Genomic DNA, 24,283 nt, shown 5'->3' with positions numbered 1-24,283 from the left:
GCAAGATGAGATGGGTGAGAGGGAGGTGTTACAAAGGAGCATGAGGAAATTTTTGGAAGGGATGGATAACATGTTCACTGTCTTGATTGTGAAGATGGTTTCACAAGAGGGTACATATGTCAAAACTTATCAATTGGATACTTCAAATATGTGGCATTTATTATATGTCAATTATACCTCAATAAAGCTGTTAAAAATAGAATATGAAACATGATTCCATTTTTATTTTTTAAATCAGTTACACACATACAGTCAAATAATTTTGAATACTCAGCACATTGTCATAGGAATTTTTCACCAAGTGGGTTGAATTATGAGTAAAATCTTACACTTTTTATTTTATGTATTTATATATTTTTAAAAATAGAGACAGGGTCTCACTATGCTGCCCAGGCTGATCTCAAGCCCCTGGGCTCAAGCGATCCACCTGCCTCGGATTCCCAAAGTGCTGGGATTACAGGTGTGAGCCACTGTGCCCAGCCAAAATTTTATACTTTTTCTTTTGCTTGCCTATGTTGTTGCATTTTTAAAAAAAATAATGCACTGATTTCATAACTAAAGAAAATTCATTTTAAGGGGGAAAGTATTAATGATGATTTGTTTCACTCTAGAAGAAATGCCACCTTTAAAAAGCTTTTTATTTAAACACCAATGAAAGTATAACTCTACAGTATAATTAATATTTGTAGAGAGTATCAATTTTCAACTTCACCTTCTATTAGATGATTGATATTATGGCCTGAATAACAGGCATTTCAGCTGGAGTTAGCAGCATTCCCCCTCTGTAATGTATCGTCCATTTACCAATGGTCAGATGCCAAACAACAGCCTCTCAGAGGAGATGTGAAGTAGCTGTGTTATCATGAAGGAGAGGTAGGGAAGAATATCCTACCGCTAGATAGAAAGCTATCAGCCCATAAAAAGTTTCTGCTCTTTTGGGATCCAGACCATGAACTTGGAGAAGGAAAGGCTTTGAGGAACATATGGAAACCTTACTATAGAATATGGAGCAATTAAACGGAGGTAAGGCAGCTGTTTATGATTTTTGGGGACTTATGCAGCTCACTGACATTCTAATAGAAGCTGTGGCTCCTCCTTCTATAAAATTCACATATATGCATAAGTTTTGCATGCAGTTTCTGAAACTATCACAAACCTCATGAAGTGAATAGACCCTGGGTTGCAAAAGAACCTCTGGAAAAAAAAAAAAGGAATGTAAGGATTTCTGCTTCTCATACATGAAATGATCTGCAGATGATAGATAGCCAACCCTGGAACAAAGGTCTGGATGCAGAATAGAGCAATATACAAAAATCAGATGAGGGAGGTAAGCTATCAGATAAGAGATCACCATGTAACTGGTATAGAAAACACTTTCTGATGGCAGTCAGCACTGATAGGACCCAAACTGGTCATTCCAGTTGTGCAACACAGGCTGAATTCTCTGCTGCCACATGCTTCTTTGGCAAAAACTGGGACTTATGAGTTGAAACAGAGAGATCTAGAAGGATACAAAGAATGTGGGAAGGTCCCCCAGGACCTTCAGAATCATTTGCCACTGTACTTCTCTACTGGACAAATATGATTTATCTTGACATGACTGAGCTGGACAATGGTTGGGGCATAAAGGGAAATGATATATAAAATCAATCAGTTTAAGAAGAAGCTGAATTCAGATCTTCAACAAGGCCATTGGAGGCCAGGCACAGTGGCTCACGCCTGTAATCCCAGTGCTTTGGGAGGCTGAGGTGGGTGGATCACCTGAGGTCAGGAGTTTGAGACCAGCCTGGCCAACATGGTGAAACACCATCTCTACTAAAAATACAAAAATTAGCCAGGTGTGGTGGCAGGCACCTGTAGTCCCAGATACTCGGGAGGCTGAAGCAGGAGAATTGTTTGAACACAGGAGGCAGAGGGTGCAGTGAGCCAAGATCATGCCATTGTACTCCAGCCTAGGCAACAAGAGTGAGACTCCATCTCAAAAAAAAACAGAAAACAAGGCCATTGGAAAAAAAAAAGAAATGGGAGAGTTGAGATTGCTAAGGAACACAAACTGAGATTGCTAAGCACGTAAGCCCTACAAGTGTGGGGCTAGAGAAGTCACCCACGTGAAGGTGAAGCCTTAAGAGATAGCTACAAAGTGATATAAGTCAGTGCACAAGTGCAGTGGTTTATAAGCCACAGTGCCCTGGGAATGGAACTGACAGGCAGCAATCTAAGGATCTATAAGACTTGTTATCCGCCAAGTCCAGGTTGTGCCTGTCTCAAACCCACAAAGGAGCTCCTTAAGCAATTCCCAGATCTGAGTTCAAAAGGGAAGAAAAAGGGGGTGGGGAGCAGAACACCTCCCTGGCATGCCAACCCCAATTGCAAGTGAAATTTATTTGGCAAGATAGACTCTCTCAAGGGAAAATTCTCAGGTGGATTCAAACTTAGGAAGTTGGCTTCCTGGTCAGGGAGACATGGGTGAACCAAAAGACTTCTCCCGGGAGGCCGAGGCGGGCGGATCATGAGGTCAGGAGGTCGAGACCACGGTGAAACCCCGTCTCTACTAAAAACACAAAAAGTTAGCCAGGCATGGTGGTGGGCACCTGTAGTCCCAGCTACTCGGGAGGCTGAGAGGAGAATGGTGTGAACCCGGGAGGCAGAGCTTGCAGTGAGCCGAGATCACTCCAGTGCTCTCCAGCCTGGGTGACAGAGTGAGACTCCATCGCAAAAAAAAAAAAAAAAAAGAAAAAAGAAAGGCTTCTCCCCACCTCTCCAGCTTCTTCTTGCCCCAATTACACCTTTTCCTTCCAGCCACACCAACCAGCCTTTGTCCAGTTCCGCAAATGCACCATGCTTCCCATTGCTGCTGGGCCTCCATCTACGCTCTTCTCCCATCTCTTCACCTGCTTAATTCCTCCTCATTTTCCAGATCTCAGCTATCACTTCCTCAGGAAAACCCTTTCTGACCTCAGCCACTAACCCAGATTCTGCATAAATGTTCACTCCCTTCTCCTGTACTGCAGTTACATGATGGCAGGTTTGTGTTGGTTAATACTGAGTGTCAACTTGATTGGATACAAAGTATTGATCCTGGGTGTGTCTGTGAGGATGTTGCCAAAGGAGATTAACATTTGAGTCAGTGGGCTGGGAAAGGCAGACCCACTATTAACCTGGATGGGCACAATCTAATCAGCTGCCAGCACGGCTAGAATATAAGCAAGCAGAAAAATGTGAAAAGAGAGACTGGCCTAGCCTCCCAGCCTACATCTTTCTCCCGTGCTGAATGCTTCCTACCCTCGAACATTGGACTCCAAGGTCTTCAGTTTTAGAACTTGGGCTGGCTCTCCTTGCTCTTCAGCCTGCAGATGGCCTATTGTGGGACCTTGTGATCAAGTGAGTTAATACTTAATAAACTCCCCTTTGTATATATTTCTATTAGTTCCATTAGTTCTGTCCCTGTACAGAACCCTAATACAAGGTTCATATCTTTTTTTCTCAAAATGAAAACTTCTGCAAACTATTTTTAAAACTTTTTATTTTGAAAAAAGTTAGACTTTCAAAGGGTGGCAAAAATAATAGTTTCCATGTACCCTTCACCCAGCTCTTACTAATGTTAACATCTTACATAACCACAGTACAATTATCAAAACCAAATAATTGACATTGATGAAATCTTATTTCTGGTCCTTTTTCTAATCCAACATCTAAATCGGTATCTCACAATGCAGTTAGTTATCATATTTCTTTACTCTCTTCCAGTCCATGACTGTTCCTCAGTCTTTCCTTATTGTTCACGGCCTTGGCACTTTCAAAACGTACTGGCCAGTTATTTTGTAGAGTGTCTCTCAGTTTGGGCTTGTCTGATCTTTTCTCCTGATTGCACTGAGATTGCACATTTCTGACAACACCACAGAAGTGACAATTGTGCCCTTCTCAGTGCATCATATTGGAAGGTACATGGTATCAGTATGTCTTATTAGTGGTGATGTTAACTTGATCACTGGGTTAAGGTGGTTTCTGTCAGGCTTATTCACTATAATGACTGTTTTTCCCTTTGTAATTAGTATCTTGTGAAGGGATCTTAAAACCATGCAAAATCGTGTTTCCCATCATACTTCTGTTCACTAATTCGGCATTCATAGGTGTTTCTTGTCTGCAACAACTATTCCTATGGTGTTTGCCTAATGGTGTTTTTTTGTTTGTGGGTTTGAGATGGAGTCTCACTCTGTCACCCAGGCTAGAGGGCAGTGGCACAGTCCCAGATCACTGCAACCTCCACCTCCCAGTTCAAGCGATTCTCCTGCCTCAGCCTCCGGAGTAGCTGGGATTACAGGCACGTGCCACCACGCCTGGCTAACTTTGTGTATTTTTAGTAGAGACAGGGTTTCATCATGTTGGCCAGGCTGGTCTTGAACTCCTGACCCCAGATGATCCACCCGCCTTGGCCTCCCAAAGTGCTGGGACTACAGGCGTGAGCCACTGCACCCAGCCATTTTTTCTATTTCTATCGTTCCTTCTACATTTGTGATTCCATTGTGTATGGGATTCTATAGTGTATTTTTAGTCAGTGGACTATAACCCATTATTGTCATTATTTTATTGCTCAAATTGCCCAAGATTTGGCCACTGAGGGACATTCAATTTGGTTCCTGTGTCCTTTCAATATGTCCCCCATGTTCTCATTACCTACCATATATTTGTTTTCCCCATCCTAATACACACATAAAATACTTCCTGAATTACTAACTTCTGCTTCTGTGAAAAATTTGCTAACTAGACTCTGGTATTTGTGTACAGTTCCTTTTCTCTTTCTAGTATCCCATCAAAATGCTATAACTTCTTATTTTTCTTGCCCACCTCCTTCAATGTGGTTGTATTATGCATCTGAAATACAGTTAAGTTCATTTGTTACTGTTTGTATTTCATTTTGAACTCTCCTCATATCCTGGTTGACTTTAATTATTTTGGGGGGCATGAGAAACATTACTATGGCTCCAAGACTCACAGTTATACAAAATATACTCAGATACACTCGGCAGTGTTCCATCCCTTCCTCCTTTACACCGTTATGATTTCTCCCTTCTTTCTACTCTAAACCCACCTACCATCCATAGACAGCTCATTACTTTCTGGCCAATCTTTCCTTATTTACTTTGCATAAACAAATAGATACATGTGCTTTCTTACATCTCCTTCTTTCTTACATACAAAGTACCACTTTCTACTTTTTGTACTTTGCTTTTTGCATTTAATATATCTTGAAAATAACTATACCGATTCATAGAGATCTTCCTCATTTTTTTTATAGCTCAATAATATTCCATCATGTGGGTATGCCATTGGTGCCATGGTTTACTCAGGCTTTCTCGTGTATATGAACATGACTTTGCTTCCAATATTTGCAGTCTCAGTGCTGCAATGAGTAATCTTGTGCATCTGTATGTTTGTACTGTTGGAGGTGCATCTTCAAGGGAAATTCCCACAGTGGAAATGGTTGTGTCAAAGGGTAAATGCTTCTGCAATTTGTTAAGTACTGACAAATTCCCCTCCAGAAGTCATACCAGTTTGCATTCCTACCAACAGTGATGACAGTGTGTTTCCCTATAGCCTTGCCTAACAGAAATGTGTTGTTCTTTCTTTCACCAGTCTTAGAGATGATAAATGGTATCTCAGTATTATCTCAATTTACATTTCTCTAATGAGTTAGTTTGAATATTTCATTTTAAAGAGCCATTTTTATATCTTTACGTGAGTATGTTCATGTCTTTTCCCAGTTTTTCTATCAAGTTTTTGGTCCTTTGTCCCTTAATTTTTAATTCCTTATATAGTAAGAACACTAACTGTTTGTCTATTATATAGGCTGGATAAATTTTTCTCCCAGTCATTTGATTTTATTGTGTTTTTACTAAGCATTTTTATTATCTTCATGTAGTCAAATGTGTCAATATTTTGTTGCCACTGGATATTTCCACCACGTTTCCTTCTGTATTTATATGGCTTCATTTTCTTACATTTGGATCCTGGATCCAGATGGAGTTCATTCTTGCATATGGTGTGAAGTACAGGTCTAACTTCAACTTTCTCCAAGGGGCTTTCCAGTTGGCTCAGCACCATTTATTAAAGTCTGCTTTGACCTGCGATTGAAGATGCCACCTTTAACTCCTCATCCCCCACCCCTAAGAAACCTCACGGAACATATGACCCAAGAGCAGAGCAGACATAAAAAGATTAACTGAGCTACTGAGATTCGGTCAAGAATGTGAACTAAAAATGAACTGTTGAGAATAAGGCTGGAAGATCCAACAGAGGGAAACGGCTGTGGAGGTCATTGCCAGGTGAGGTGTCAGATCCCCGGCATTGGGAAGTGGTCAACTCGTGGGTTGGTAAAAAGAATTCACCAACAACAGTATAGGTTTGAAAAAGGAAAGGTATTAGAAGAATGCTGCAGAAGACTGCCATGGGGCACCTCGGTGAGAGGACTGAATGTACCACGGTGGATTTTTCCTTAGGGATATTTATGGACCTTAAAGCGGGACCGTGGGGTTGCAGTGAGTTTCAGCATGGCATTCCGGAGATGTACAGAAATTTTAGTTACTTCTAAGGTTTTTTTCGGGGAAAAGAAATCTGGAACCAGATGCCTGCTTTAGATAATAGGAAAGTCTAATTACTTTTAATTTTCCCCAAATAAGGCGTTTTGCCTCTGCATGGCCTGATAGTCACCAGGTGGTCTTTGCTCCCTTTTAAATTCCTCAGATAAAAAGATTTTGTCTCTGGGACCTGTTCAATGGTCACTAGGTGATTTTTGCTCTCCGCAGTCATGATGTGATGGAAAGCAAAATAGCAAACAAGGGAGCTGGATGGCGATGAAGCAGAGACAACAAGCAAGCTCAAGCTCCTGCAGAAGGGTCCGTCCCTGGAATCACCTCGGCTCACCTGTACCGTTCCAACAAACCCTTCCAACCAAAAGAGCCCCACCCCAAAAATGCTTTTGAAATCCTGAGATGTGATCAGTGAAATATGCAGCCAAGGCAAGGGGAAACTGTCCGCAAGTTAAAAAGATTTATTGCTATTCCAGGCTTCAAATGAGCCCAGAACTCAGGGCTGGTGTGTGTTTCAGAAGTTGTTATGATGTAACAGGGTGGTAGAAAAATCCAGGCAGTTTGATGTCGAGGCCACCCTCTCTTCCTTGGACCCCTGCTCCAAAAGCAGCTGCTGGTGAGGCTCTTTCCCATCTGCCTCATTCACCCAACAGGACTCCAAGACTGAGGCAGGCAGCCTTGTGATCCCCACAGCTCACAGGTGAGAGGCTGCTCATACCTCTCCTAGCACTGGAAGAGCCTTGTCCTTGGGACCGGACACTATGGCTTTGGCCCTGTGGAGGGAGAAACGGTGCCACAGGAGTTGTCTTAAGAGGACAAGGCATGCACGGTCTGAGATCAGAGGTTGTGACGTGGCCACCCATGAGCCAGTCCGTTTGGGACACATCACACTGCACAGCTTTTTAAAAAAATAATTAGCTGCCAATCTTTTAAAATGGTAAGATTTCATATACAAATCTGGATTTTTGGCTTCTCTAGGAGTAAACATTGAAACTTTTTTTTTGAGACAGAGTCTCACTCTGTCACCAGGCTGGAGTATTGCCAGTATCTGGCAGTTGTCTTCACAGACTGGCTATGCACTCTCCAACTGACTCCAGTCCTTGCCACCCTTAATTATATTTCCAACTGGAGACCAGGCCTCAGCAGCCTTGTATCAATGGGCACATGTGCTGTGACTTTCTGTGTAAGAAATATTTACATTGTAATAGCATCTTTAATCAAAAAGGAAAAATCGGCTGGGTGTAGTGGCTCATGCCTGTAATCCAGCGCTTTGCAAGGCCAAGGTGGACAGATCACGAGGTCAAGAGATCGAGACCATCCTGGCCAACATGGTGAAACCCCATCTCTACTAAAAATACACAAATTAGCCGGGCGTGGTGGCAGGGCCTGTAGTCCAAGCTACTTGGGAGGCTGAGGCAGGAGAATTGCTTGAACCCAGGAGGCGGAGGTTGCAGTGAGGTGAGATTGCACCACTGCACTCCAGCCTGGTGACAAAGTGAGATTCTGTCTCAAAAAAAAAAAAAGCGAAAAATCGAAATCAAGCCTGGAAGCAACATGTTTCTCACGGTTCTTATCAGTCATTTAAGTCTCTTGCTAGGCCCTGCGGGTACCTGAGTTTGTAAACAACAGAGCACTCCTAATATCTCCCCCAAGGGATTCCTCCCCCACACACCCTACCTCTCCAGGATACACTGCACCCTAGTATTAATTGGGCAAATCTAGAAAGGAAATAAAAATTAGTCACAGAAGTTAAGGGAGGAATAGACTAAGAGCAAATACTTTTGCCCCTTCATTGTAACAGGGGGCCGGAGGAGAACAAAAACGTTAATACTCTCACTTCGCTTTTAACTTAGTGACAAAAAAAAAAAAGAGTGAAAGAGAGAGAGTCATAAAGATTCTTCAGGTCCTAAAACACTCTGGTTCCCATTCCTTAACTGCTTTGGAAATGAACGAGGCTCTTTAGAGAGAATGTTAACGGGGATGAGTAACGTGGTCAGCCCAGCAGATGCCCTGGGCTATCAAGAACTGTCCAACTCATTCTCCCTTAGGTCAGGGCTGCTTGCCCCAGCCTAAAATGTAAGTGGTACAAAATGATTTTCAGTGAGGGTAGTGGACTCACTGTAGAAAGGGGATTAAAGGGGGGCAGAGAGTGGGAGTTTGGCCTTGGCAAACACAAAACAGAGGAAAAGGGACCTTCCTCACACCGCTCCATTCTGCTGTGGCAGATGCCATGTTATATGCCCTTTAGAGAGGCAGCGATCTTGATGCAGCCCAGACGCTTCCCACTGCTGCTCAGGACGCTCTCTATGCGGTAGTTCCCGGTGGTGAGCCAACTGGGCAGCTCCAGGTCAGGCACAACGAATTCGCTCTTGGGCAGTGAGTAGGTTCCCTGCGGGAAAGCCAGTGGACCGCCAGTCAGTGGGAGCCTACTGATGGGGTCTTTCTCCTAGAGCCACTGCTAGGATTGCAGCCATGAACTACCACCCCTCTTCCCATTCTCAAAACAGCCGCACAAGATGAGAGACGGCCATAGCACTGTAGAGCATGGATTATTATGGATAAAGGGCCCTGAAGATCACATCTAAGTTCAAGTCTCCCATTTCGTAGATGGATAACTGAGGCTCCCGGAAGATAAGTGATTCCTGATAGGTCACACTGGCTTACAAATCCAGAGACATGCAGATCTGCAGAAGGAGAATGCAAAGACCCTTCTCTCCAAACCCCATCTCTTTAGCCACAGGGGTAACGCTCTCTCCTCCCTAAGTACTTACTTCTTTGAAGGGACAGTGGCAAGGAAGCCCATAGGTACGCAGGGGCTCTGGGCAGGGCTCCCCAGTAGGAATTAACATGTCAAGCACATCACAGAAGTGTTCAAAGGTACAGCTGCCAATGTAGTCTGTGCATGGGATCTTGATCCAGAGGCCAGCCACCTCCTTCTCCAAAACTAAATCCACCTGGTAAAAAAAAATAAAACAAAGGTTTGAAAAAGGTTATAAGTGTAAATTCCAGGGCAAACATACCAGCTCTTCTGTCTTCAAAAAAGCAGCAATATATTTTAATCATAGAATTTTTAACTGGATGAGATCTTAGAGATAGTCTGTTCTAGGAATGGCAACATTGTGGCCCATGTGTGAGTATAGTGTATTATTGTGCCCATGGCAGACATTAATAATCAAATGTGAATTTTCCCCCTACACTGAACTATACATAGACTTAGAATTCTTTTTTTTTTTTTTTGTATCATGGCTCACTGCACTCACTGCAGCCTCAAACTCCTGGGCTCAGACGATCCTCCTGCCTCAGCCTCCCATGTAGGTGGGAAACACAGACAGGCACATGCCACCACACCCAGCTAATTTTGTATTTTTTGTAGAGATGGGGTCTCACTTTGTTGCCCAGGCTGGTCTGGAACTCCTGGCCTCAAGCAATCCTTCCACCTCCACCTCCCAAAGTGCTGGGATTACAGGCGTGAGCCATCATGCTCAGTCCATAGTCTTAGAATTCTTTAGGTAGTCACTACCCATTGATTGGCTCTAACACTTGCATTGAAATGCACTTGTCATCTAACTGCTAATTGGTTAACTGTGGCATTGTTTCCTGGGCTTTCCTTCTGAGCCCAGTCGTGGCCCCAAAATCCTTTTCTGCATAGGACTTCAGGTAGTTACTACCAACTGATGAGCTGGTTACCAAAATGAACCCAACTGGCTGCTCTTGGGTCACATTTTCTCCGTACAGCCACAGAAGACAGAATTAAGAACAATAGGAATGTATAGAAAGATCACCTTGAGACTGGTATAAAATCATAGCTAGGTTACAACAGATGGAGCTGCCTCAAGGAGTACGGGCTCCCTGACTCAGCCGGGAAAGCTACAAAAGACTCTTGTGCCTGGAGTAGGGCTGGGTGAGAAGCTCTAGAACACACTTCACACCTCCATACTGTCATGACTTTGCTCCCGTTTTGGAGGCTGAAGCTGACCAGGAGGAAGTGGCCCAAATTTCATGGTGGACATCCCAGTTGTGCCGGGCACGCGCTGAACAGTCACCATGTGTTAGTTGCCTCTAGTGCCAAATGAGTTGGCTTTAGAACCATGTCCATCACCCACCAAAGGTATCAAGGGAAAACTCTCAGGAAAGAGCACCAGGAAATTAGCTTTCTCAAATATCTGATTCCTTGTGCGTGTTATGGCAGGAAATCACATTTTTAGGATCCCTTTCAGCTCTGACATTCTAGCATTCTAGGAATCCCAGCCTCTAGGCTCACTTTATTTGGGGCTCTGTTTCTAAGAGATTAAATCCTGGATGGGCACTTATGTCCTAAGAGGCTGCTGGGCTCAGGCTGGTTCCCAGGCCACGGACTCAAGTCTTCCAGATGCCCCAGATGTCGAGATATTAGCTGCCTTCCTCCAGGCCCAGAAAGAACAAAGAAGTTAGCACATCCTGTGGTCTGAGTGGACAAATTCTAATTGCTCCTCTCACTGGCCTCATCTGCTCCTAAGACATACCCATTATCTCCACCACTGGCCACACAGCACCCTCTCAGCCCTCCTCTCTCTCATCAAACCTGCTTCTACCCCGCTGCCTAGGAAAAGTCAGAGGGCCTAGGTTGGAATGCTAGTTCTGCCACTTCCTAGTTTTATTGTGCCCTTGGGTGAGTTACTTAATCTCTCTCAGTGGCCATTCCCTCACCTTCTTTTTTTTTTTTTGAGACAGAGTCTCACTCTGTCACCTAGGCTGGAGTATAGTGGTGTGATTTTGGCTCACTACAAACTCTGCTTCCTGCGTTCAAGCGATTCTCCTGTCTTAGCCTCCTGAGTAGCTGAGATTACAGGCATGAGCTACCACGCCTGGCTAATGTTTTTGTATTTTTAGTAGAGATGGGGTTTCACCATGTTGGTCAGGCTGGTCTCAAACTCCTGACTTCAAATGATCCACCCGCCTCGGCCTCCCAAGGTCCTGGGATTACAGGCATGAAGCACTGTATCCAGCCTCGCCTCATCTTCAAAAGTGGGATATTTTAGAGTGCCTACCTCTCTCACAGGTCCCATTGAGAGGGAAATACCAGCACTTTGCACAGTGCCTGAAATCAAAAGCTTCCTCCTCCATGACTTCTGCCCTGCCTTTTTCCTTAGCCAATACTCTCTCCTTGTGTCGCCAATACCCTAATGAAAATGTTTGAGCCAGTTATGCCCTGAGTGAGAACACACAGTGGAGGAGGCCAGTAGGGGGACAAGTCCTGCCAGGGCTCCTCCCACCAGGCTGGAACCTGTAGGGCTGCATCTACCAGAAGAGGTAGTGGCTCCCTCATCTCTACTCCTGCCCCCAGCACAGGACCAGCACGACACAAGAAGTGTACTGAACTGAAGTCAACAGAGGGTTCTAAGGCAGCAGCCACACCTACCATTTGGAAATTACAAATGATGGCTCATTTCTTATTCTCAATCTATTTGCTACTATGACTCAGAAAAGGAAGCAGGGTGGAGTAATGAGCCCAGGCATGTATATGACTTTGGGTGCTGGGGGAGCCAAGTTACCAGGCCTGAAAGGCTGGAATAAGTACATATGACAAATACAGTGACAATTTACAGTTCTTGAGGATGGGAAAACCAGGGTCCCACAGGCTGGAACTTGAGGGAGGGCTGGGCATTGGGAGTTATTAACTATGCCAGATCCCATGGAGCAAGTCAAAAGAGAAAAGGGAGCTCCTGAGCAGGCCCCAGTCTTACCCACGGCCATGGAATCCGGGACATTTAACTTTTAAAAATTGCAGCTGGAGTCAAATCCAGCCAGGTCCCAGATTTGACTTTTGATTAAAGAAATTTCACTACAGCAAGATCAGAGAAAGAGAGGATGGCAGTTGCTTTCTTGGGTTTGGGCAGTCACTCTCCTCTGGGCCTCAGTGTAACAAGGGGTTGAAGCCCCATGGACCCCAAGAGTGCTCCAGGCTCATCCAGAGCTTAGTTCTGGGCAGCTCTCATAAGCAGGTCTGCTGGGCAAGGGGAGAGTTCTGGAACTGAATCTGCAGCACTCCTCTCCCCTCCCCTGCAAATACACCAAGCACCAAGTCTACCTCCCTGCCAGTAAAAGCTCAGGAACCAAACCCCAAGATAAACATACCAGCCTTGTCCATGCTAACAACTAGCTTTGTGACCTGGGTCAAGTTGCAACCTTTCCTGAGACCCTTTGTCCCTCATCGGCTCTTCTCCCTAGCAAGTGGTCAGAAGAGCTTTCATCTAATAGTTGATATGCACATATCCTGAAAAAAGAACTGAACCAAATAAATAAATAAATATATATATATATACGAGAAATATTGGGAGCCGGGCCTGGTGGCTCACGCCTGTAATCCCAGCACTTTGGGAGGCCAAGGTGGGCAGATCACCTGAGGTCAGGAGTTTGAGACCAGCCTGGCCAATGTGACAAAACCCCATCTCTACTAAAAAAGTGCACGCCTATAATCCCAGCTACTCTGGAGGCTGACGCAGGAGAATCCCTTGAAACCGGGAGGCAGAGGTTGCAATGAGCCATGATCGCGCGACTACACTCCAGTCTAGGCAACAGAGTGAAACTCCATCTCAAAAAAAAAAAAAAAAAAAAAGAAATTGGGGAAAAAGAAGGAGCAGAGGGGATCTGAGGCTAATTTTTCCTAAGCACAAGTGACAGTAAAGACAGAGGAGATTATGTAGGCCCAAATTTATGAAAGGTAATAAAGCAATGGAAAAGGAGAATAGGGAGTAAAACCCATCTTAATGGTTTGTGAAGAAGCCAGGAAAAGCAGGCTGAGGGCAGAAGAGCGGGTTTGCCAGCTTCTTGTTTCCAAGTCAGCTGCATAGCCCCCTCCCTGGAAACACCAGTGGCTGCATGGTGATGGCAGCAGAGGGAGCATGGCGGACGGCCTACCAGGAGAGCCCACACTCCAGATCAGCAGAGGGAGCACACAAATAAATGTGTGTGACCCTGGCAGAGAAACAGTCCAGTGTCCATACATAGGGAATGATTCCATCCCTTGGCCCAGATCCAAGGGTACAGGGCTTGACCCCCTATCACTTGAGGAACAGTAATGGAAACACAATGACTCTGCTAGGAAAAGGCTTGGTAGGAGGTGCAGGGGAGCTGAAAGCTGCCACATATCCAGGACTTGTGTCTGGGTCAAGAGACTGCAGGATAAGACAGATACTAATCGAAATGTTCACAAGATATAAAATGTACTGAGCATGTCCTGGGTGCCAGGCCCTGTGCAAAGCACTTTCCACATGATTTTCTAACTCAGGTATTGCTCAAGGAAAGCCCATAACGTAGGAGCTGTGATTAAGACAGGTCTAAGGATAATGATAGAAACACAGAATCCAAATCAGGAATCTTCTAAATAATTAACACAAAACTGGTACTAGAATAGATCTGGATCAGGAACAGACTGAAGGGCATAGAGGAGCATCATATAAAGGTAGCAATTTTAGCTAGAGAGGAAAGGACCATATTAAATGGTGTTGCAATGGATATATGAAAAGTCTTCATTGTTTTCTAAGAAAATATAAAAACATACACCCCTAAAATAGTCAATGGATGGAAACAAACAGGTTATTCCCAAAGTAAATACAAAAGGCAAATAAACTTATGAATAGACATCTACGCTCACTAGGAATGATGCAGGTTTATTCAAACATTGGGAGGCACTTTGGCAAAATGTATCAAAAGACCTAAAAAGTGTGTATCTAGAGAATCAGAAAATTATAAAAAGATGTACTATAAGAATAATTTCTACAAAGGTGGTTACTACAGCAAAACAAAAAACAAACAAACAAAAAAAACCCTCTGGCCAGGTACAGTGGCTCAAGCCTATAATCCCAGCACTTTGGGAGGCTGAGGCAGGTGGATTGCCTGAGGTCAGGAGTTCAAGACCAGCCTGGATAACATGGTGAAACCCCATCTCTACTAAAAATACAAAAAGTAGCTGGGCATGGTGGCAGGTGTCTGTAATCCCAGCACTTTGGGAGGCCGAGGCAGGCACATTGCCTGAGGTCAGGAGTTCAAGACCAGCCTGGCCAACATGGTGAAACCCCATCTCTACTAAAAATACAAAAATTAGTGGGGCGCAATGGCAGGTGCCTGTAATCCCAGCACTTTGGGAGGCTGAGACAGGAGAATCGCTTGAACCCGGGAAGTGGAGGTTGCAGGGAGCTGAGATTGCGCTACTGCACTCCAGCCTAGGCAACAGAGTAAGAACCTGTCTCAAAACAAACAAATAAACAAACAAACAAATAAAAACTACCCTGGAAACAAACTAAATGTTCAACAATAGACTTGTTATATAAATTATGAAAGATCCACATCAGAATATTTCTGCCATTAAAAATGATTGGGTGGGCTGAGCAAGGTGGCTCACGCCTATAATCCCAACATTTTGAGAGTCTGAGGCAGGAGGATTGCTTGAACTCAGGAGTTTGAGACCAGCCTGGGCAACACAGGGAGGCTCCGTCTCCATAAAAAATAAAAAAATTAGGTAAGCATGGTGACATGAACCTGTGGTCCCAGCTACTCAGGAGGCTGAGGTGGGAGGATCCCTTAAGCCCAGGAGGTCAAGGCTGCAGTAAGCCATGATCACACTACTGCACTCCAGCCTGAGCAACAGAGTGACACACTGTCTCTAAAATTACAATACATTAAAATAATAAAATAATGATTGGATAAAAAAAAATTGAATAAGTAGAGCCACCTAATCCTTGGAAAGATATGGACATATAGTATGAGGCAAAAAAAATAGCAAGTATAATAGCACATATCATATAATCCCATGAGTATAAGTGTGTATATATTTACAAACACATAAAAATTCTGATGGGATATATAAAGAGCAAACACTGACTATCTCTAGGATTTAGATTACTGGAGGACATTTACAATGAGCACTGCCTATTATCATACATATCCATTAAAAATAAATATGTGTGTTATGTATGTAATTGTATGGGGGAAAGTTGCAAAGAATATCCTATAAGATGTTAAAAGTGCTTATCCCTTATCACTAGGTAGTGAGATTTCAAGTGATTTATTTTATTTATTTATTTATTTTGGGACAGAGTTTCACTCTGTCACCCAGGCTGGAGTGCAGTGGTGCGATCCTGGCTTTCTGCAACCTCTGCCTCTTGGGTTCCAGCAATTCTCCTACCTCAGCCTCCTGAGTAGCTAGGATTACAGGCACATGCCACCACGCCCAGCTAATTTTTGTACTTTTAGTAGAGATGGGGTTTCACTATGTTGGCCAGGCTGGTCTCAAACTCCTGACCTCAAAAGATCCACCCACCTCAGCCTCCCAAAGTGTTGGGATTACAGGCATGAGCCACCACACCTGGCCTATTTTATTTATTTTTTGACCACTTGTGTTTTCTAAAGTGACTATATATTACTGGCTAATTGGTATATCAATTTTATAATTAACAACAAAACCAAATTGGCCAACCAGAGCTGTCAGACAATAATGAGCAGTTGGCCACCAGGCCCAGAGAAGGCCAGGACGCTTCTGCCAGGTGCAAGGTATCCGTCACTCCTGCCCTCACCAGGAAGTTGCTGGCGCTGACATCAGAGATTCCTTTCAATCTTATGATCCTGAGATTCCATGAACCTGTGAAAGAGTGTCTGAATCTACATGTCCTGTACTATTCTCTGGGAATCCAGGATTCTGAAATTCTTCACAGTTCCCCAAGCATACATGCCCCAGTACCCCTGCTGGCCAGACCCTCGCACCTCCCCTTCTCCACCCACCCCCAGGCTCACCTTCAGAGGAGAACTCAGGGGGACACTGGTGCTGCCCATGACACTGAGGGTCACATTTCCAGGAACGATGATGGGGTCAGGCTCCAGAGTCAGGCTTCTGATCACCGCAGGGTCCTTCCCTTCATCACAGTTATCCCAGGAAAAGCTACTGAGCTGGGATGGCTGGGGACAATCAGGCAGCAAGGAAGGAGAAGAAGAAAAAGGTTGACAAAAGAAACTATCACAGATCACAGGAAAAATGAGCTCCTGGCAGAGTGACCTTGGGTGAGGCACCCCCGTCCCTGAGCCTCATCTATGAGACTCCATACCTATGAAGCTGGGATAACACTTATCCTACTCATTTTATAGGCAGGACTAAACTAAAAGACTCAAAAGACATAATCTCCCAAAAGTGTATTGTAAACTATAAGGCAGGATATGATAGACCTGGAACTTCCAAACAGGAGACTGACCTAATTGGCCTTTGGTGGGCACCTTCTCTGACTTCCCACCTCCCTGCTGCCCACTCCTCTCCAGCCAGCCTTGGAATCCCAGCAGAGGGCAAGCTCCTGGAGGATTCACCTCTGCAGCCCACACCCAGGACCTTGTTCATGTCACACCCCGTGCCCAACCCAGAGCCAGGAACAATGGGAAACACAAAACACAATGGGAAATCTAACAGCATCTGAAATCCCACTCTCAAGGGGCAGGTGATTAACTCAGAAAGGAATAGGACACTCATGAAAAGATCCCCAGTGGATCACTTGCTGATGAATAATCCCCAGTGGACTTCCCCAGTCCTAACCAGTGTCTTCTTCCCATCCCTCTTCTCATGCCACATGCCCACTTGGATCACTCACCACCCCTGTGCTGAGCTGCTCCTGTTCCTCCTCCACATCCCCCAGGTCTCCTGATTCCACCACCACTACATCTGCATGTGACTGCATGTGACCACCACTCCGCACTCCAACAGACCCTGTCTGATGATCTTGAACACCTCCCACACTGTGAAGACTCTCTGCCCACCCACTCTCACCTCTCCCAGCCCCCTGGAGGCCACCTATGAGAGACTGTTGGCATGCCCTCCATCCACACCCTGTCTCAGAGAGAAAACCTGCCAGTCCCACACCCCCAAGCTGATGCCCACCTTCAACACTCCCATCACTGACTCTTTCAAGAGGGATCACCTAACCCCAGCTAGGCTGACAGATTCTCTCTGCCCAATTTTGGAATTAAGGTATAAAAGGCTGGGGATATGGGGGTTTTGTGCTGTCACTGGATCCTAAGTTTTGGGTTGAGGCCAGACCATCTAGATCTGTGATCCATGACCAAGCAGAAGTTAGGGCTAAGGGCTAAGGGCTCTGTTGGTCTGTGGAAAAGGGAACAGATCAAGTCCCACTTCCCTATCTATAAAAGCAGTATGGAGTAGCAGTGAAGGGCATGGCTTTGGAGAGACATGGGTGAATGACAGCTTTAGCCAAACAGCCCTGGGTGGAAATCATAGCTCTGCCACACTTACCATGTGATTTTATAGGCCAGTTTCCCCTTTGGAGTCTAAATTTCCACATCTTTTAACTGGAGGCATTTCTACCTTCCTCTCCAGGATGTTGCAAGGGCGAGAGCGTGTATGTAAAGCTCATAACCCAATGCCAGGCACAACACGGGAGCCGGCTCACTAAAGGAGCCATTAGCGTCCTAGCCTCCGCTTCCTGCCGGCAGCTCCATGGGATGTCTTGCAGCTCTGTAATAAACTTCCCCTTTACCTGAGCTTTTAGGAATGGGTTCCTACCCCTTGGAATGAAAGGTCATGTCATGACTAAGAAAGGCAGGACAGGATAGTTGCCACTAAATGTTTCCTTCAACATTCATTCCACAAATATTTATGGAGCAATGATGATAGGCCCTGGGCTAAGTGCTGTGGCAAGAGTGGTAAACAATCAGACCTGGCTCCTGCCCTGCCTTGAGGAGCTTACCGTCTAATGCAAATAAATATCACCCACTATGATTTGTGAGTGCCACAAAGGAAAAGAGCAGAAGGTAATGCTGACAGCAACAAAGGACTCACTTACATAGGGTGGTGGGGAAGTGATACTTAAGCCGGGCTCTTGCAGGATGCGGAGTCAGACATGTAAGTGCAGGCCGAGGGAACTCAGGCAAAGGCCCCGAGGCACAAAGAAGCTTGGCTGCTCCAGGCACTGGGAGAAGGCCATGGGCTAAATGTAGTAGATGAGGGACCCAGATGAGGTTGGAGGGGTAGCAGGGTCATTTAATGCAGGACCCCACAAGCTATAATCGGGAGGTTGCATTTACTATAGGGGCAGTGGAACCCCACTGAAGGACAGTACTACACTGTGATTTGTGGTTGTGAACAGACTGAAAGTGGTCAAGGGAAAGATTGCCTGGAATTAAGAGTCAGGCTGGAGGGCAACATAGGAGCAGGACTAGTTTTCTGGGTGGGGCTGTTTTCATAGATTCTAAGGCAGCCTGATCCACACAGAGAATTGATTCTGGGCTGGGGGTGGGGGTAGGGTATCCAGAGTACCTACCGGAGAAGAATCCCTTCCCCTCTCCTAAGCTCTTCTTTCCCCAGGCCCTGGGGGAGACGTAACAAGATGGCTTCCTGAGGGTAATGCCCGGCTAGCTGTCTCTGTAGTGACAAATTCTGCTGCTGAGTCCAGGCTCATCAGGGAAGGGAGGTGTAATGGATTAGCAGTGCCCACCAAGGCCAGGCTGGTCACCAGATATCTGCCATTCCAGCCTAGGCCAACTAGTGGGAAGGGGTGGTACAAGACGGAGGGGAAAGGCACAGCTCTGGAGGCAGAGATATGGGTACTACAGGTATGAGTTAAAACCCAGCTCAGCCAGTCTTACTAGCTAAGACCATGGGTAAGTTAACCCCCTAGGGGTTCAAAATTTCCTCATTTATTATGTGGACATAATGATATCTTCTCACAGGGCTATTGTGAGGGTAAGATGTTTGTATACAGAAAGCACAGGGCACAACTCCTCAAGACTGCCAAGCTCATGAATAAACAAGGAAAGACTAAGAAGCTGTCATAGGCTGGAGGAGAGGGGGGACTACAATTATATGTGTCATGACAACAATGGCAGTGCAGTACCCTGGATTGGATCCTGGCTCAGAAAGAGGGCATTAATGGGAAAACTGGTGAAATCCAAATAAAGTCTAGAATTCAGTTAACAGTAATGTACTAATGTTGGTTTCTTAGTGTTGGAGATATGTACATATAAGATGCTAACAGGGAAAACTGAGTCAGGAGTATATAGAAACTCTATATTATCTCTGTAACTTTTCTTTTTTTTTTTTTTTTCTTGAGACAGAGTCTCACTCTGTCATCCAGGCTGGAGTGCAGCAGCGTGATCTCAGCTCACTGCAACCTCTGCCTCCTAGGTTCAAGTGATTTCTCCTGCCTCAGCCTCCCAAGTAGCTGGGACTACAGGTGTACGCCACCATGCCTGGCTAATTTTTGTATTTTTAGTATGGACAGGGTTTCACCATGTTGGCCAGGTTCAGGTTGGTCTCAAACTCCTGGCCTCAAGTGATTTGCCTGCCTTGGTCTCCCACAGTGCTGGATTATAGGGGTGAACCACCACGCCCTGCTGCAACTATTCTATAAACCTAAAATTATTCCAAATTTTTTTTTAGGAAAAAAGCACATAGCCCAGTACATAGCACATAGTATGGGTACAACAAATGACAGCCACTATACAGCACTATAGAGTCTATTAAGCACCTACTATATGACTAGCATGGGGCTAGATATCCTCCCCTGTTATCTAACACCCATCACAGCCTGTAGTCACAAGATCAGTTATGCTAGAAGAGGAACTGAAATTCAGGTTTCCTGATGTTCATTCACTGTCACCCCCCACCCCCATCTTTATCTGGCCCAGGGACTCAAGGTCAGGGCTCTGAATCACATGAGCCCCAAGAAGATGTAGGTGCTGTGTGATTTTGAGTGACCTTTATAATGTCTCAGGGCCTCTTCAAAACTGCCAATCTAAGACCTAGTCTGAGATGGCATCCATACCCACAGCATATACAACAAGTTTGTAGGGTGAGCTAGCAGCCTCTAGCCAGACTCCACCTCATAGCGGCCAGCCCTGGAGCCAAGAGAAGCATTCTCAGCCAACATTCAGGAACAAGGTATAAATTCTCCAGGCAAATGAAGTCAAAAGGTCCACGTTCCTTCATTCAACAAGCAAAACAGACTTTCTGCCTCGGGGGCAGAGTGAGGCCAAGCCCACAGATTTATATGGCTTTATTTGTTTCTGATTTTAGAAATTTTCCATCAATGAATGCATTTCCCTTCACCGACAACTCCCCGAGATGCACGTTGGCACCATCACACCCATCTTACAGATGAGGAGAACAAGACTCAGGAAATCCATGGATTGAGACAGGGGAATGATCAGAAGCCAAGCCTCCCTGCTTTCAGTATCACCCGCTTTCCCCTACACAGCACTGTTCCTCACTCTCAAACACTTCCAAGATGGTAGAAGGGAGGGGATCAGGGTTGGACCTATCCCTTTGCTACCAGAAATGTGTGATGTCTTGACCACAGCTAGCAGCCAAGAGGCAATGGAATCGGGTTTTTGTTTTTGGGGTTTTTTTGTGAGATAGGGTCTCACTCTGTCACCCAGGCTGGAATGCAGTGGTGCAATCTCAGCTGTAGCCATGACCTCCCAGGTTCAGGCGTAGCTGGGCCTCTCACCTTAGCCTCTCAAGTAGCTGGGAATACTGGCGCACACCACCACGCCCAGCTAATTTTTGTATTTTTGCAGAGATGGGGCTTCACCATGTTGCCCAGGCTGGTCTTGAACTCCTGAGCTCAAGCAATCTGTCCACCTCAGCCTCCCAAAGTCCTGGGATTACAGGTGTGCACCACCGCACCTGGTCTTGGGTTTTTTTTAAATTGACAAACCATAGTTGTATACATTTATGGGGTACACTGCAATGTGAAATGTATTCTCTTAGTTGTTTTGAAATGCACACAGTTCCTGACTTACAATGGTTTGACATACCATTTTTCAACTTTACAATCGTGCCTAAGTGATAAATATTCAGTAGAAACTGTACTTTTAGTATCCATACTGTTTTTCACTTTCAGTACAGTCTTCAGTAAATCACATGAGACATTCAACACTTTATTATGAAATAGGCTTTGTGTTAGATGATATTGCCCAACTGTAGGCTAATGTAAATGTTCTGGGCATGTTTAAGGTAGGCTAGGCATGTTTAAGGTAGGCTAGGCTATGATTCTCAGGTTAGCTGTATTAAATGCATTTTCAACTTATGATGGGTTTATCAGAACATAACCTCATGGAAAGTTAAGGAGCTTCTGTATATAATACATTACTGACGATAGTCACCCTGGTGTGCAATAAATCTCAAAGCCTATTCCTTAGCAGAACTTGGTGGCCCACACCTGCAGTCCCAGCTACTCAGGAGACTGAGGTGGGAGGACTGCTTGAGCCCAGGAGTTTAAGGCTGCAGTGAGCTACAATCGCCCCACTGCACTCCAGCCTGGGTGACAGAGTGAGACCCCACCTCTACTCTCAACTTCTGTAAGTTCAACTTGGTTAGAATCCGCATATAAATGAGATAATAAAACAGAACTACCATATGAGCCATTATCCCACTTCTGGGTATATATCCAAAGGAACTGAAATCAACATTTCGAAGGGCTATCTGCACTCCCATATTCATTGCAGCATTACTCACAATAGCTAAGATATGGAAATAACCTAAGTGTCCATCAACAGACACTTGATGGATAAAGAAATTATCCATCAACAGACACTTGATGAAGAAATTATCCATCAAATTGAATGCATAAAGAAAATGTGGCATATATACACAACAGAATACTATTCAGCCTTTAAAAGGGGGAACATCTTGTCATTTGCAACAACATAGATTGAATCTGAAAGACATTGGGCTAGCTGCAATAAGCCAGGAACGAGGCTTTTTCAGGTGAAGGGATTACAGAACTTCCCTTTCCCAGGGATCTGCAGCACGGTGTGAATGAGAAGTGAAGGAAGAAGCGGTGTCAATGAGAAGTGAAGGAGGAAGCTTGGAGGGTACGGGGACTGTTGTCTCAGTGGCTCATAACCAAGGGCAGCGGGGTCACAGGCCTGGGTATTTGTCACCAGATGGGCAAATCTGGATCCTCTGGCCTGGAAAAGCTCTCAAACCCTCCCAACTCTCAGGAAGACCTCAGGGCATTCGAGCAGGGGAAGAGATGAGGCAGCAGGCCTTATCATGGGGGACATAAGGAGTGGGGGTCAGGAGTAAGGTGCAGGGTTAACAGGACTGAATCTCTGGGGGCAATGCCTTAGTTTTAAGGCTGTCTGCATTTTCACTCCGGCGCTTGGAGGGAGGGCAGGAGAGTGCAGACGTGAGATTAATCTCTCCAAAAAGGGCCTGGAGCAGAACAAGTCTTTAGAGGCCACCCTCATTGTACAGACCAGAATCCCATAATTAGTTACTTTGGAAGGCTCTAGTGCAGAGAACCAATTCTAGAGAACGGAGTGGCCACCCCCATATCTCAGCCAGACCCGCACACCCGTAGCTGGGCCAGGAGGCTGCAAACAGACTCTTAAAAGAGGGTGCACTCACCTTTTTCAGGTGGGCTTGCGCAGGGGCCGCGAGAAGCAAGCCCAGGGCGATCAGGAGGGGAGCCTGCATCAGGGACTGCATCGGGAAGGGTGGGTCAGGGCGGAGTTAACTGCAAGGTCTGTGGCGGCAGAGGTGCCTTTAAATGCCTTCCAGTATTGGTTACGCAAAGAAGCTGAGTCCAGTCACTGGCAGGTTCGCCCTGCCCCGTCCCGGCCAGAGACTTCCCGGCCGAGAATTGGACCGATTCCTCCCGGCTCCGCCCCCTCGCTCTTTTCATTGGAGCCTGTCTCTCTAGCGTAGGTGTCAAGGCCTTCCCTCTCTGGGGCGTAGGCGGAGTTGGAAGAGAAAGGGGCGGAACTGAGCGCGGCGGGGCTGAAGGCGGCTGGAACGGAAGGGAGCTTAGCACGAGGTTGGGGCGGGATCACGAGGGCGGGGCGGAGCTGCGCGCGCGGGAGGGGCGGGGGCGTGGCGCGAGGAGGGGCCGAGCGGAGTCGGGGGCGGGGCGGAGCAGAGCTCCTGGGAAGGGCGGGGCCGGGCAGGGGATGGGGCGGAGCTGTGGTTTGTGAACTCGTGCCGGGGCCGTCACCTTTGGAAGGACCTTTGGGAAACCGCGGATTCAGTGTTTTCATCCCCAAGTCCTTCCGGACAAAAATGTCAGACTCTCTGCCATGTTACGCTTCCCCATATGTGTGTCTTTTTTTTTTTTTTTTTTGCTTTGAGACGGACTCTCGCTCTGTCGCCCGAGCTGGAGTGCAGTGGCGCGATCTCGGCTCACTGCAACCTCTGCCTCCCAGGTTCAAGCGATTCTTCCGCCTCAGCCTCTCGACTAGCTGGGACTACAGGCACGCGCCACACGCCCAGCTAATTTTTGTGTTTTTAGTAGAAACGGGGTTTCACCGTGTTGTCCAGGACGGTCTTGATCTCTTGACTTCACGAATCCGTATCTTTTTAATAATTATAACCGTTATAAAAACTAACATTTAGTAACTGCTTGAAAGCATGCTAAGGACGCACAAGGGAATGCTTTTTTTTTTTCTTCCCCAATTTTAGCACTGAGGAAACTGATACACAGTGAGGTTAGCTCTGCCAAGGTCGCACAGCTAGGAAGGAATAGAGCAAGACTTCTTTTTAGACACCCCATCAGCCAAGATTTTGTCAGGTTAATATACTAGTTGGAGATTTGCTTTTAGAAAAAACAGGGATGTTGTTACCAATACCGCCAATTTACCACAGGATTGTAAACTACACAAGGGGTGGCATCATGATGCAGGCACTCATTTATACCCAGTGCCTGATGCATAATAGACAA

General features: G+C 45.7%; 1 protein-coding gene across 2 annotated transcripts, besides 2 other annotated features; it reads right to left on the bottom strand.

Moving 5' to 3' along the window:
* On the bottom strand, nucleotides 5,832-23,087 carry GM2A (ganglioside GM2 activator). Of its 2 annotated transcripts, none has more exons than NM_000405.5 (4): nucleotides 22,975-23,087; nucleotides 16,356-16,517; nucleotides 9,359-9,541; nucleotides 5,832-8,976 (listed from the first exon to the last, which is right to left on the bottom strand). In NM_000405.5, exons 1-4 carry the CDS (start codon nucleotides 23,053-23,055, stop codon nucleotides 8,821-8,823), a joined length of 582 nt encoding a protein of 193 aa, NP_000396.2. In that variant the 5' UTR covers nucleotides 23,056-23,087; the 3' UTR covers nucleotides 5,832-8,820. The 2 variants fall into 2 exon arrangements, with proteins under 2 accessions (NP_000396.2, NP_001161079.1); NM_001167607.3 differs by having other exon boundaries at nucleotides 5,878-8,780; nucleotides 9,373-9,541.
* Nucleotides 19,883-20,022: an enhancer, noted in NCBI's record as "active region_23455". NCBI's record gives its function as "activates an Ori minimal core promoter by ATAC-STARR-seq in GM12878 lymphoblastoid cells {active_cell/tissue: GM12878}" and the evidence as "EXISTENCE:reporter gene assay evidence [ECO:0000049][PMID:35858748]".
* Nucleotides 23,127-23,476: a silencer, noted in NCBI's record as "silent region_16523". NCBI's record gives its function as "represses an Ori minimal core promoter by ATAC-STARR-seq in GM12878 lymphoblastoid cells {active_cell/tissue: GM12878}" and the evidence as "EXISTENCE:reporter gene assay evidence [ECO:0000049][PMID:35858748]".

The sequence above is a fragment of the Homo sapiens genome, chromosome 5 (assembly GCF_000001405.40).
Source record: "Homo sapiens chromosome 5, GRCh38.p14 Primary Assembly".
Classification (NCBI taxonomy): Eukaryota; Metazoa; Chordata; class Mammalia; order Primates; family Hominidae; genus Homo; species Homo sapiens.
The sequence above is the reverse complement of the archived record's forward strand: the minus strand, read 5'-3'. Positions and strand labels throughout refer to the sequence as shown.